Source organism: Homo sapiens, chromosome 12, assembly GCF_000001405.40.
Source record: "Homo sapiens chromosome 12, GRCh38.p14 Primary Assembly".
Lineage (NCBI taxonomy): Eukaryota > Metazoa > Chordata > Mammalia > Primates > Hominidae > Homo > Homo sapiens.
The window spans coordinates 104,612,719-104,626,027 of record NC_000012.12 but is presented as its reverse complement, the minus strand read 5'-3'; the positions used below and the strand labels follow the sequence as shown (position 1 = coordinate 104,626,027).

The window sequence follows — 13,309 nt, the reverse complement described above, 5'->3', positions numbered from 1 at the left end:
ATTTCCTCATTTGAAAAGAAACAAGCCACCAATGAAAAGGACTGGATCACCTCCAGGTACCTCCCAACACTACAAGACTCATCTTTTCTAATTATGTTCACACTATTAATTTGTTTCACAAATTCCTCCTTCATGGTGAGCTTGGAGGAAATGTTACATATTCTAAATTAGCAGGGTTCAAATTAATGAGCTTTTACTGTCTTCTGGGCAGATTTGGAAATGAAAAAGAAGACAGGGAAGAAAATGAGATTTAGTAGTGCTCACTCTGACACAAAATCACAGGTTCACATGGTCAATTTCAACTCCCAGGGCACCTGTTTTATGGAATCCTTAAGAAGACAGTTCAGAAATTTTGCTTTTTTCAGAAAAACAGCATGAGTGAGTTGCCTGTTTGTCTTAACAGTGGAAAGAAAAAGGATGGCCAGCTGGGCGTGGTGGCTCATGCCTGTAATCTCAGCACTTTGGGAGGCCAAGGCGGGCGGATCGCCTGAGGTCAGGAGTTCAAGACCAGCCTGGCCAACATGGTGAAACCCCATCTCTACTAAAAACACAAAAATGAGCCAGGCATGGTGGTGGGCACATGTAATCCCAGGTACTCAGGAGGCTGAGGCAGGAGAATCGCTTGAACCCGGGAGGCAGAGGTTGCAGTGACCTGACACCAAGCCATTGTACTCCAGCCTGGGCGACAAGAGCGAAACTCCGTCTCAGAAAAAGAAAAAGAAAAAGGATGGTCACTGGCATCTCTGAATAGCAGAGTCAGGCACTAACACAGAAGGACATAAGTTACTGGAAGTCTATTTGCTTTTCTAGAACACTGGGGCATCTCCAGTTTGGCATCTCAGGAAACAGTGATTCTAGTGGCTTTAAAAGGTTTTGCATAGCTGCTTAGTCACAAGATCAGGCCTAATAACCTCAATAGCAAAGTCTGATTCTTCACCTGGTGTTATGGAATGAGGTGGGTCCCCCAAAATTTGTATGTTGAAGCTCTATCCTCCAATGTGACTGTATTTGGAGATGAGGCCTTTGAAGAGGTAATTAGGGTTAAATGAGGTCATAAAGGCGGGACCCTAACCCAGAATGACCGTGTCCTTATAAGAAGAGAAACCAGGAGTGCACGGGCACCGTGGAAAGACCATGTGAGGACACAGCCAAAAAGGTGGCCGTCTGTGAGCCAAAAAGAGAGGCTCACCAGAAACCAACCTTACTGGCACCTGGATCTTGGGTTTCCAGCCTCCAAGACCCGAGTCAACAAATGTCTGTTGTTCAAGCCACCCAGTCCGTGGTATGTTGTTATGGCAGTCTGAGCTGACTAACACACCTGGGAAAATGTAATCCCAATACTAGCTAGAATTGAGAGCCTGCCACTGTCAGGCTCTGTGCTGACAGCTTTAAGTGCATTATACCACCTCATTCTCACAGTAGTCGTGTAAGGTATGTATGATTATTATCTTCATTTTACATGAATTCTTAACCTTTTTAACTTCTTCATTCATTTTTCCCTTCATTCATTTGATATGGCAAGCACAAATCATTCATTCATTCAACAAACATATCCCAAACACCATGCTTACAACTTTGTACAAAGCAAACCACTTTGATTCCAAGAAGTCCTATTAAGGGTACCAAATGCACTGCCCACATGGCCCGTATGCAATCCTGAGACCACACATTCAGTCTTAAGTACCCAGGGTGTCCACTCCTTCCATCCCTGTCTTCCTTGCTGTGACAATCATTTAATACCCATTGTTTCAAACCGTCTCCCTTCTTTTTCTTCTCCTGCCGATTATGCACCAACCCCTTTTCAGACCTCAAAATTGAGGTTTGCACATAATTGCTCTGACAATTCCCCTAGGATCAGAGGCCGGAATGGAGTGCATCTTAATGAGCTGCATAATTGCTCCTTGAAATGCTTTTCTTCAGCAGCCATTCTCTGAGATTCCGCTCAGCAATTCATTTTCCACATACCTTCCCTCCATCAAGGCTGCAGGCTTCACTCCCCCAGCCTGAGACACTGAGAACGAGTGCTGTGTTTCTCAGGAGCCCCCATTCATCATGGTCATTCTGTTCATTTGCCATTTTCAGAATGAAGATCAACTCAGACTACACAAGGCTTCGTGGCTAGAGAAACATCACATGACAGCAACGGGAAGCTTTCAGAGGCTGGTGTGTTTCTCATACCCCAAAACAAGTTGAAAGTGATTGAAATTAAATAACCCTTTCCTGATTTCATAATGCAACTGCAGACAGCAGAGACGGTGAGATAGAGCCCAGTATTTTACACCAAGGGCACATGAACTTTTTTTTTTTTTGAGATGGAGTCTCACTCTGTCACCCAGGCGATCTCGGCTGGGTGACAGTGGCGCGATCTCGGCTCACCGCAACCTCTGCCTCCCAGGTTCAAGCGATTCTCCTGCCTCAGCCTCCCGAGTAGCTGGGATTATAGGCATGTGCCACCATGCCTGGCTAATTTTGTATTTTTAGTAGAGACGGGGTTTCTCCATGTTGGTCAGGCTAGTCTCGAACTCCCAGCCTCAGGTGATCCACCTGCCTCGGCCTCCCAAAGTGCTGGGATTACAGGCGTGAGCCACTTCGTCCAGCCCACATGCACTTTTATCTACCACGGGTGGCCTGGACCTCGACCGTACATCAGCAATAAAACACTAATAACCAAATCAGGCACGGTACTTTACAGTTTACAAACAGCTTCCATTGTCTCACCAGCTCTTGAGGGAGGCATTATTATTCCCATTTTTAGAGGCTAAGGGCCTGACTCTGGGGAGCCTTCCTGACTTGCTCAAGAACACCCTTGCAGTGTGGTGAGGCTGGGACTTGAACTCAAGACCTCTGGCTCTCGGCACAGTCTAAAGCAGGGAACCCCTGTGGATGAAATCTGGCCACGCCCATTCATTTACATATTGTCTTGGCTGCTTTCATTCACAAGGGCAAAGCTGAGTAGTTGCAACAGAGACCTAAAATGTTTGCTGTCTGGCCCTTTACAGAAAACGTCTGCTGACCTCTGGTCTAGAGATTAATGCACCAACTTAGTTGAGCACTTTAGACTGCTTCAGCAGGGTGAGATGGCTTTGGGGGTGCTTTGGCTCTTAATGCATGGACAATCATGAACTGAACACTGGACTGGGAGTTAATTGACCCTTGGCTATTGCTCTGGCTGCTGCTGCTAATACGCAATTACACACTTTTACCATGTGCTTGGCATGGGTCTCAGCCGTTTATTGCATTATCTTCATTTAGTCTTCACAACAAACCTGTGAGGTAGGTACATTATCCTTACATTGGGAGATGAGGAAACTGAGGCACAGTGAGGTTAAGTAACTTGCCCAAAGTCACCCAGCTAGTGCCTGGCAGGGGTGTCTGCTCTGAACCGGCATGCTCTTTGCCCTCTCTAGGCTCGACGTTCAGGTTTAGCCTTACCTGACATTTATTAAGAGCTTACTTGGCTGGGGAGAGTTATTTAATACTCTGATCTTCCTTCTCTTTGCACTGTCTAAAATGGGAAGATAATATCTCCCCTGCCAACCTTGAGAGAATTGTGAGTTTCAATGAAGCTAGTCTCTATGCGGGTACTTTGAGAATACTGTAAGAATTATATAATCATTTCATGAAGGAAAATCTTGACAAATATAACACCATTAATTCCAAATATTTACTCCGTCCTTTTAAAAAAAATAAATGTACTGACTAAACAGTGGTAGTACCTCCTACCTATAGGAACCCATCCACAAAACTGTGATCTGATATAAATTTCACGTTGAATGTGTGGTTGTCAAAGAGTTCTTATGAATATGTACAAGGATTTTGGTTATCCACAAAACTGTGATCTGATATAAATTTCAGGTTGAATGTGTGGTTGTCAAAGAGTTCTTATGAATATGTACAAGGATTTTGGTTGTATCAACTCAGCCTATTCCCTGCCGGTATGTAAGCCATGATGTGCCTGTGGGGGTCACCGGGGTTGCCGGCTTATACCTAGATTTGCCAGGCATTTTCACAGTACCTCACTTGATCCTCAAAACAATTCTGAAAAAGGCAGTATCACCACAACCATCAGCATCCCATTTTCCAGACTCACCACGCTGCTGCCGGACTGCTTACCTGATGTCACAGACCTGGCCTCTCCCAGGCCTCCTTTGGACCCTGGTCTTGGGAGAGGGAAGCTTAGCTCCAACTAAAAAGGGGTGTGTGCATGTTAGTTTTCTATTGCCGCTGTAACAAATCACTACAAACAACTGCTTCCATTCTGAAGGTCACAAGTCCTAAAGTCAAGGGGTTAGCAGGCTTGCGTTCCTTCTGGAGGCTCCAAGGGAAAATCTGTTCTGTGCCTTTTCCATCTTTTACAGGTCACTTACATTCCTAGGCTTGTGGCCCCCTTCCTCACATCACTCCAAGCTCTGCTTCCATCCTCACAACATCTCTTTTCCTGGCTTTGACACTCCTGCCTCCCTTATCATCCTGATGATTATACTGGACCCATCCGGATAATCCAGGATAATCTCTCCATCTTAAAACCCTTAACTTAAACTGCCTTTGCAAAGTCCCTTTTGCCAAATAAGGTAACATATTCTTATTGCTTGGAAAAGGGGCAAGGCATTCTGCCTACCATAGCTTGGGAAGCCGTGACTGTAGGCCTTGGGTTTTGAATGGCCCTGGGCCAATGGCAAGGTCTAGGACAGCACCAGAGAAAGACAGGATGTCTGCAGCCCATCGCCTTGACTGGGTTTAACAGGCCGGGCCACACATGTTCATCTTTGAGGCTGGCTTGGCTTTTATTCTCCAAACAGATCCTTTGCCTAGGCCTTGATCAAGATGCCCCCACAAACTGGGGGCTGTGGTCTGTGAGACTCCCCAAGATCCCACTGTGTCAAGCTTGAGATCAGCAACAACGCTGCTTTTGAAAGTCTGCCAAGGCTTTGGACAATGATATTTAGCAAGTTAAATTTGAAATGAACTGATAGAGACAAGCAGGGTTTCTGAGGCTCAAGAAAGACTACACTCTGCGCTCAGTATTAGATAACAAATGGCAGCAATTTGCCATGGGTTGTTTTTGGCAAAGACTTATCTTAACAAGATACTTATCACTTCTTCCTCCCTGGTTTAGTTACACCATTAATATCCTGGGGAAGGAGACTCAATTATCAATTGCAATTGACTGTCATTCTCCTAGCTCCTGGTTTTTATTTCAAGATTATCTAGGCCTGAATCCCAATCATTTTTGTTTTGTTTTGTGTTAGTGAAAAGAAAGTCACAATGTTCTATGCTAGTCTCTGACACAACAAACAATGAACAAAACCAGCCAAGAAAATAAGCTCATTTTGCCACTTGCTCAAGAAAAATGACGCTTTACTCTGGGTAAGTAATAAAAACAAACAAACAAACAAATAAATAAATAAATAAATGGAGAATTTCCATTCCTTGCAATGCTTCTCATTAAGAGAAGGATTGGCAAATTAATTTTACTGTACTGATCTCTCAGGACCTCCATTTTGAAAACAGCGCTAAATCAGCCCATTTCTTGGTACTGTTAAAGGCATGTTGGAAGAGAAGGCTATGGATGAGCATAAGGTTTGGAGATTATCTGTGGATTTCTATTTCTCATTCAATCCCTTTCCCCCATGACCGTGAATAATTGGATGTCAGCTGCTTCTGAACTCCCCTAGTATCTGCCAGTTCCTTGAAGAAGTCACACTTCTTTTCAAACTCCAGCTCATTTATCCTGGAAAATGAAGGAAAACCTATGGAGAGCCGAGGCTGAGATTCTGAACTGAGATTAACTGTTCTATGGATGAGAGAAACTCAAATGAAGAGAGCAGAAGAAAGTTGGGGGGGCACCATTTGGGAGCCATTCTGTGTGGTGACAAAATACCTTTAGGGGACATGTCTCAAGGCAGCCTTCAAGCCTGCTAATTTCCAAATGTCTCTTTAGCATGCAATTTCCCTACAAAATTCAATGAGATCTTCAAGTGGCCCCATCAGACCTAGGATGAAGGCTCACCGGGAATGACAATTATAGAATGACAAAGCTTCCGGGCTGAGGAGTTGGCTGGGCTCACCTATTGGCTAAGGGAACCGTTTCTCCCATTCAAATTTGGTCCTTCGCAAAGATTACAAGTTCCTCCTTGTTAATGAACTTTTGAGTTGCTCTTGAAAAGTAGAAACCAGAATGTTCCATCTGCAAAAACCATGGGCTTAGCATGAGTTAATTTAATTCTTTACCCTTGGTGAATGGGTTTGCGAGATGAGTTAACCCTTTCTGAACCCGGAGCCAACCAAAACCCAGTAAGTCTATGGATCGGTGTAAACAGCCTTCTTCAAAATGGGCAGCCCCCAGATAAGCAGCCCCCACTCCAGCCTCTCCCAGTGCTTGTTTGGGGCTTGCTTTCACTCACTTAGGGCTTCTTGTTAATTAGGAAAGAGACCCCGAATCATTCTGATTCCTGTTTGAACACCAACTCTTGGTTGGGGCTTAGAAGAGAGCGCTCGAAACACGACCCAGTGGAGTGGCTAAAAATAGCCCTCCCCTGACGAGAAGAGTGAATTGATAAGAAAATTACACATGGTTACTGTGCCTAGGCAGGGAAGAGCTCAAAAAAGAAACATCTAAAAGCAGCCTCCTAACATTTTTGTGTGTGTCCGGAAAATTAAAAAAAAAGTTCCAAGCCCACAGAAGTCCTTCTCTGCAACTCCCGTTTCAAGCACAGCCTCTGGCCTGAGCAAACCCAGTCCTGGTTCAGGGATGCTCTGTCTGACTCAGGAGGGGTCTGAGTGAGTTTCTAGGAGAAGCTGACAATCCAGGAAACCGAGAGGTGTAGCCGGCACAGGCGCAGGTGGGCACACAGCCCACCATGCCTTGCTCCCATTTCACTGAATCCTGCCTGCTAGGATGGGGGCTTTCAGGACCCTCCACCCAGGTGTGCCTGGGACAGTCATGGATGGTCTTCACTGTGCATTTCATTCCAGCTGACCACCCATCTGCGGGCAGGCATTGACTCAGCCCATTTACAAGCTCTGTATACTCCTTCCACAAACCACTGGAGAGGGAGGGGGTTTCATCTTGACTTAAAGACCAGTAAATTAAGAATCAAAGGAATTCAGGTCACTCATTTAATCAATGAGTCGACCCCAGTTGAGCTGGTGGAGGTGGCCTCGCCTGGTCCCATGAGCAATAAACAAGCTCCAGAGCTGGACTGAATCATGGTTCTGCAACTCCCCGAATAGGCTGGATGATGCTGCACACCAACAACAAAACGCCTCTCTATGCCTCAGGTGCCTCATCTGTAAAATGGGGAATGATGTATTTGAAAAGCAGTGAAAGGCTGTCTGAATGTGAGGGAGTAAGAAAGTCACTGGGCAAAAGAAACTTCTCTTAAAACACACTTACTAGGACCCAAATCATGATTACAATTTTCCTTTTAAAGAAAGAACAGTGGAAAGTTTTAAAGATGAGAACATAGAAATAAAAAAGAAAAAAAATACTTGGCTAGGTGCAGTGGCTCATGTCAATAATCCCAGCACTTTGGGAGGCCAACGCAGGAGAACTACTTGACCCCAGGAGTTCAAGACCAACCTGGGCAACATAGTGAGACCCCATCTCTACCAAAAAAAGAAAACAACAACAACAATTAACTGGGTGTGGTGGCCCAGGCCTGTGGTCCCAGCTACTTGGGAGGCTGAAGTGGCAGGATCACTTGCGCCCAGGAAGCCAAACCTGCAGTGAGCCATGATCGCGCCACTGCACTCCAGCCTGGGCAACAGAGCAACACCCTGCTTTAAAAAAAAAAAAAAAAAGAAAAGAAAAGAAGAAGAAGCCAGGCACAGTGGCTCACACCTATAATCCCAGCACTTTGGGAGGCCGAGGCAGGCAGATCACAAGGTCAGGAGTTCGAGACCAGCCTGGCCAACGTGGTGAAAACCCGTCTCTACTAAAAATACAAAAATTAGCTGGGCGTGGTGGTGCACACCTGTAATCCCAGCTACTCGGGAGGCTGAGGCAGGAGAATCACTTGAACCCTAGAGGTGGAGGTTGCAGTGAGCCGAGATCGCACCATGGCTCACCAGCCTGGGCAATAGAGTGAGACTCTATCTCAAGGGAAAAAAAAAAAGGAAAAAGGAAAGAAAAAAATATGTATTTGACTGTGTACTGCTAGCCACTGTTCTAGGCACTTTACACAAATCAACTCATTTAATTTTCAAAATAATCCAAAGAGCTAGGTATTGTTTTTCTTGTTTTTACATAGAAAGAAACTGAGGCACAGAGGGATTAGAAAACTGACACCAAATTGCTCTGCCAGTAAGTATAAATTTGAACCGAGGCAACCTGACTCTGAGAACCCACAGTTTTAACTGTTACACTTTGTGGCCTTGTTAGCTGAACTTAAATAAGTGATTCCAGCTTTCCAGATGAGGAAACCTAGAAGTTGAAACCTAGAAGTTGAATTACTTGCTCAAAATCCCACTGCTAGTAAGTGGAAGAGGCAGGATTTGAACTCAGGACGTAGGGGTCTAAATTCCATGCTCTTCCCACAAAACTGCATTGTTTGAGATTTGCTGCACCAGGTATTTGGGGGCCATGCAGGGGGGATGGGAGAATGGTAAGATGACACCTAAAAATGTCTTTTGAAGGAAAATGCTGGAGTGAAGGTGAGAGGCGGGCATGGAGAGCCTAGGTTGCCTCCTCCTTGTTTCTTGTGAAAAGTGAAGGAACAACCCAATCTATGAAGAGAACTATTAATAACTCTGACTGTGGCTACCCAGGGGACCCTATCCTCTAGCCCCACAAATCCCCTTCACTCCAGGGACACCACCCAGGCTGGACAGGTTCTCCTTTTACAGGTACTGCGGTGACCTCTGTTTCTAAAGGCACCCGTTCAATGCCACATTTCTCTTCTCCCTGGGTTGAGTCATATGAAATTATGAGTATTTACTGCATCCAGAGAGACCGAGAGGCTGCACATCCATCTGGCCCACCTTGGGACTCCAGCTCCCTGCCACGGACTAGTACTCCACAGCTGCATAAACACGGCCTTTTATTTTCCAGGGTTTCTGGAAGCAGAAGCATGCTACCTTCCAAGAGAGGTCAGGGCCTCTTCTGGTGTCCCGTCTCAGCAATCTACACAAACTCTGGGACCACTCGTCCTTTGTGACCTAACCTACTTGAGGGTTGCTTCTTCTAGGGCCTCCCAGGCTCTAAGAAGGCTTGTCCAGTTAATGATTGTGCAGACCACCTGGGAGTCTGTTAAAAAGTTTCCTGGCCGGGCACAGTGGCTCATGCCTGTAATCCCAGCACTTTGGGAGGCCAAGGCAGGTGGATCATGAGGTCAGGAGATCAAGACCATCCTGGCCAATGTGGTGAAACCCTGCCTCTACTAAAAATACAAAAATTAGCCAGGCGTGGTGGTGTGCGCCTGTAGTCCCTGCTACTCAGCAGGCTGAGGCAGGAGAATCGCTTGAACCCGGGAGGCAGAGGTTGCAGTGAGCCAAGATTGCGCCACTGCACTCCAGACTAGGCGACAGAGTGAGACTCCGTCTCAAAAAAAAAAAAAAAATGTAGTTTCCCTTTGGCAGGCTGGGGTGGGGGCCAATTCTGTAATTCTAATAAGCTCCCAAGTGTGTCAGTGTTGCTGGTCCCTGGATCTGTCTTTGAGTAGGAAAAACCTAGAGAGGTGGTTCTCAAACTTGGTTGTTCATTGAGGGTTTATAGAAAATACTGATTGGGTGGACTGAGCATTGCAATTTTTTAAATTTCCTTTTTTGCTTCTAAAGTACAGCCAAAGCTGTGAACCCCTGCACTAAAAGATGGTGTTTCTTTTAGACATAGTGGATTTATAAGATGATGGCAGATTATCCGGCAGACGATGGAGTTCCATTGTCCAAGTGATCTTAGCCTCCACCTGCTCATTTGCTCCCAGGGACCATTTGCTCCTCTCTGCCTTTGTGCCTGAGTAACAATAACAACAGCAAATAGCAAACAGCCTTCACTTGGTGCCAGACACCTTTCTGAGCACTTCACATGTCCGGATTCATCAAATTCTCACAAAAGAGAATAAGGTAGGGGCTATTCTTTGATTTTTATTTTATTTTATTTTGAGACAGAGTCTTGCTCTGTCACCCAGGCTGCAGTGCAGTGGTGTGATCTTGGCTCACTGCAGCCTCCACTTCCCAGGTTCAAGCGATTCTCCTGCTTCAGCCTTTTGAGTAGCTGAGACTGCAGGTGCCCGCCACCACGCCTGGCTAATTTTTGTATTTTTGGCAGAGACGGGGTTTCCACCATGTTGGCCAGACTGGTCTTGAACTCCTGACTTCAAGTGATCTGCCCACCTCAGCCTCCCGAAGTGCTGGAATTACAAGCGTGAGCCACCGAGCCCGGCCAATTCTTATTCTCATTTTACAAGTGAGACAAGTGAGGCACAGAGCTGGTAAGAAGCTCTCCTACATCACACAGCCGGCAGGCGCTGGTGCTGGGATTTCAGCCCACGTGGGGCTAGTTCTAGAGCCTGTGCTCTTGACTACTTCTAGGCTGTGTGGCCTCAGACATTCATCTTTCTCTCAGAGCTTTTCTCCAAACACTGGATGGGACATGAGGCAGGAATCCAGGCAAGCACTGAGCTTGCCGAGTTCTCAAGAGCCAAGCTCTGCCTTGGCAGGATGTCTGTTATATCCATGGATATATCCGTGGATATTCCGTGAGAAACATGCTGGAGACAAAACAGATGGCCAGAGCGATTTCTCCAATACTCAAAACGACTGCCAGAACTGTGTATTTGCCATTTTGTGGCTTCAAGTCCCTGATTTAAGATGAAGAGAGGGGAATGTTGCAAGAGGCCATTTTAGGCAGCACTGGAGTTGGCCGGGGCGTCACACCCCTGTGGCACATTCCAAGGACGGTCAGCTTCGTTCTAGGGCTGCCCAATGTCTGCTATGGCCTGCGGCAGGCCCAATCTGTCAAGTGTCTCCCAGTGCGGTAATGCAGACATTGAACAACAGAGGATCAGCTAGAGATACAGGGGCTGTTGACTTTTCTAGAAGTCTGGAGCTACAGTGGAACTCAGGTTTCGTGCATCTTTGGCCTGCTTATCCTCTCTATCCAAGAAGAGGGGTGTGGATGGAGAACGCCTGCCCAGGAGGGACAAAGCTTCAGCCCCTCCAGTCAGTGCCTCTTCTCCTTTCTCCCCTCTCCCCTCTCCCATCTCCCCTCTCACCTTGGCCAGATTTTAACTGTGCAAGGGAGGGTGGAGTCACTTGTTCTTCCGTGTGCCACCCTCCTGTGTCTTTGCTCTGTCGGGATGACCAAGGCTCTACACACACACACACACACACACAAGCATGCATGCACACACACATGCATAAGCATGCATGCATACACACATGCACACACACACATACACATGCCTAGTCTAGGTCTATCTCTATGCTCCTCCAACGTCATGTATTAAACTCATATAGGACATCATTTTATAATTTTTTAAATTTTTTTAATCAAAAAAAAATCCAACCAGGCTGGAGAGCAGTGGCACAATCATAGCTCACTGTTGCCTTGAATTCCTGGGCTCAGGGGATCCTCCCGTCTCAGCCTCCCGAGTCAGCTGGAACAATTGGTGCACAACACCATGCCCAGCTAATTCTTAAATTTTTTGTAGAGACAGGATCTTGCCATCTGGCCCAGGCTGGTCTCAAACTCTTGTCATCCTCCCACCTCAGACTCCCAAAGTGTAGGGATTACAGGCATGAGCCACTGCGTCTGGCCAGGACCTCATTTTATAATGGTCAGTCAGTTTACTGGCTTGACACCCCAATTAGAGCACAAACTTCCCCAGACTTATTGAGGTTAATTTGGCAAATAAAAATTATATATATTCATGGTATACAACATGATGCTTAGATAGAGAGATAGATAGTGAAAGTGATGACCACAATCAAGCTAAGTAACACATCTATCACCTCACATAGTTATCATTTTTCGTGTAGTCAGAACATTTAAGATCTGCTTTCCTAGCAGATTTCAAGTCTACAATATATTATTATTAACCATAGTCATCAAGCTGTGCATTAGATCTCCAGAATTTATTCATTCTATCTAATGAAACTTTGTACCCCTTGACCAACATCTCCCTGTTTTCACCACCTCTGGTAACCATTCTGCTCTCTGCTTCTACCAGTTCAACCTTTTTAGATTCTACATATAAGTGAGATCATGCGGTATTTGTCTTTCTGTGCCTGGCTTATTTCACTTAGCATACTGTCCCTGTATTAGTCCATTCTTGCACTGCTATAAAGAACTACCTGAGACTGAGTAATTTACAAAGAAAAGAGGTTTCATTGGTTCCACAGGCTGTACAGGAAGCATGGCTGGGGAGGCCTCAGGAAAGTTACAATCATGGTAGAAGGCGAAGGGGAAGCAGGCACATCTTACATGGCCAGAGCAGGAGGAAGAGAGAGAAGGGGGAGGTGCTACACACTTTCAAACAACCAATTCCCATGAGAACTCACTCACTATCATGAGAACAGCAAGGGGGAAATCCACCCCATGATCCAATCACCTCCCACCAGGTCCCTCCTCCAACACTGGGGACTACAATTCGACATGAGATTTGGGGACGGGGGTGACACAAATCCAAACCATATCAGTCCCCCCAGGTTCACCCATGTTGTAACCAAGGGCTGAAAACTTCCCTCTTTTTTAAGGCTAAATAACATTCCTTTTATATGTATCTATATATCTATATCTATCTATCTATCTATCTCACTCACATTTTCTTTATCCATTCATCCATTGATGGACATGTAAGTTGATTCTGTATCTTTTTTTTTTCTTTTTGAGACAGGGTCTCCCCAAGCTGGGGAGCAGTGGCATGATCATGGCTTACTGCAGCCTCAACCTGACCTCCCTCAGTCTCTCGGGTACCTGGGGCTACAGGCACGTGCCACCATGCCTGGCTAATTTTATTATATTTTTTGTAGAGACAGGGTTTTGCCATGTTGCCCAGGCTGGTCTCAAACTCCTGGGCCTCAAGCAATCTGGCTGCCTCAGCCTCCCAAAGTGCTGGGATTACAGGCATGAGCCACCGCGCCCAGCCTGATTCCGTATCTTACTGTTGTGAACAATGCTGCAACTCTGCTACAGTGAGAGTGCTGGTGTCTGTTTCAGATGCTGCTTGCACTTCCTTTGGGCATACACCCAGAAGTGGGATTGCTGGATCATATGGTAGTTCTGTTTTTAATTTCTTGGAGAACCTCCATACTGTTTTCCATAATGGCTGTACCAATTTACATTCCCACCAACAGTGCACAGGAGTTC

The 13,309-nt window shown here is 45.9% G+C and overlaps 1 protein-coding gene across 4 annotated transcripts in view, besides 1 other annotated feature; it reads right to left on the bottom strand.

Moving 5' to 3' along the window:
• Positions 1 to 13,309, bottom strand: part of CHST11 (carbohydrate sulfotransferase 11) — a 305,067-nt gene that overhangs the window by 135,987 nt on the left and 155,771 nt on the right. The window lies entirely within an intron of this gene.
• Positions 1,538 to 2,275: an enhancer, noted in NCBI's record as "NANOG-H3K4me1 hESC enhancer chr12:105017531-105018268 (GRCh37/hg19 assembly coordinates)". NCBI's record gives its function as "activates a minimal SCP1, AML or CMV promoter by ChIP-STARR-seq in primed H9 embryonic stem cells {active_cell/tissue: H9 hESC(primed)}" and the evidence as "EXISTENCE:reporter gene assay evidence [ECO:0000049][PMID:30033119]".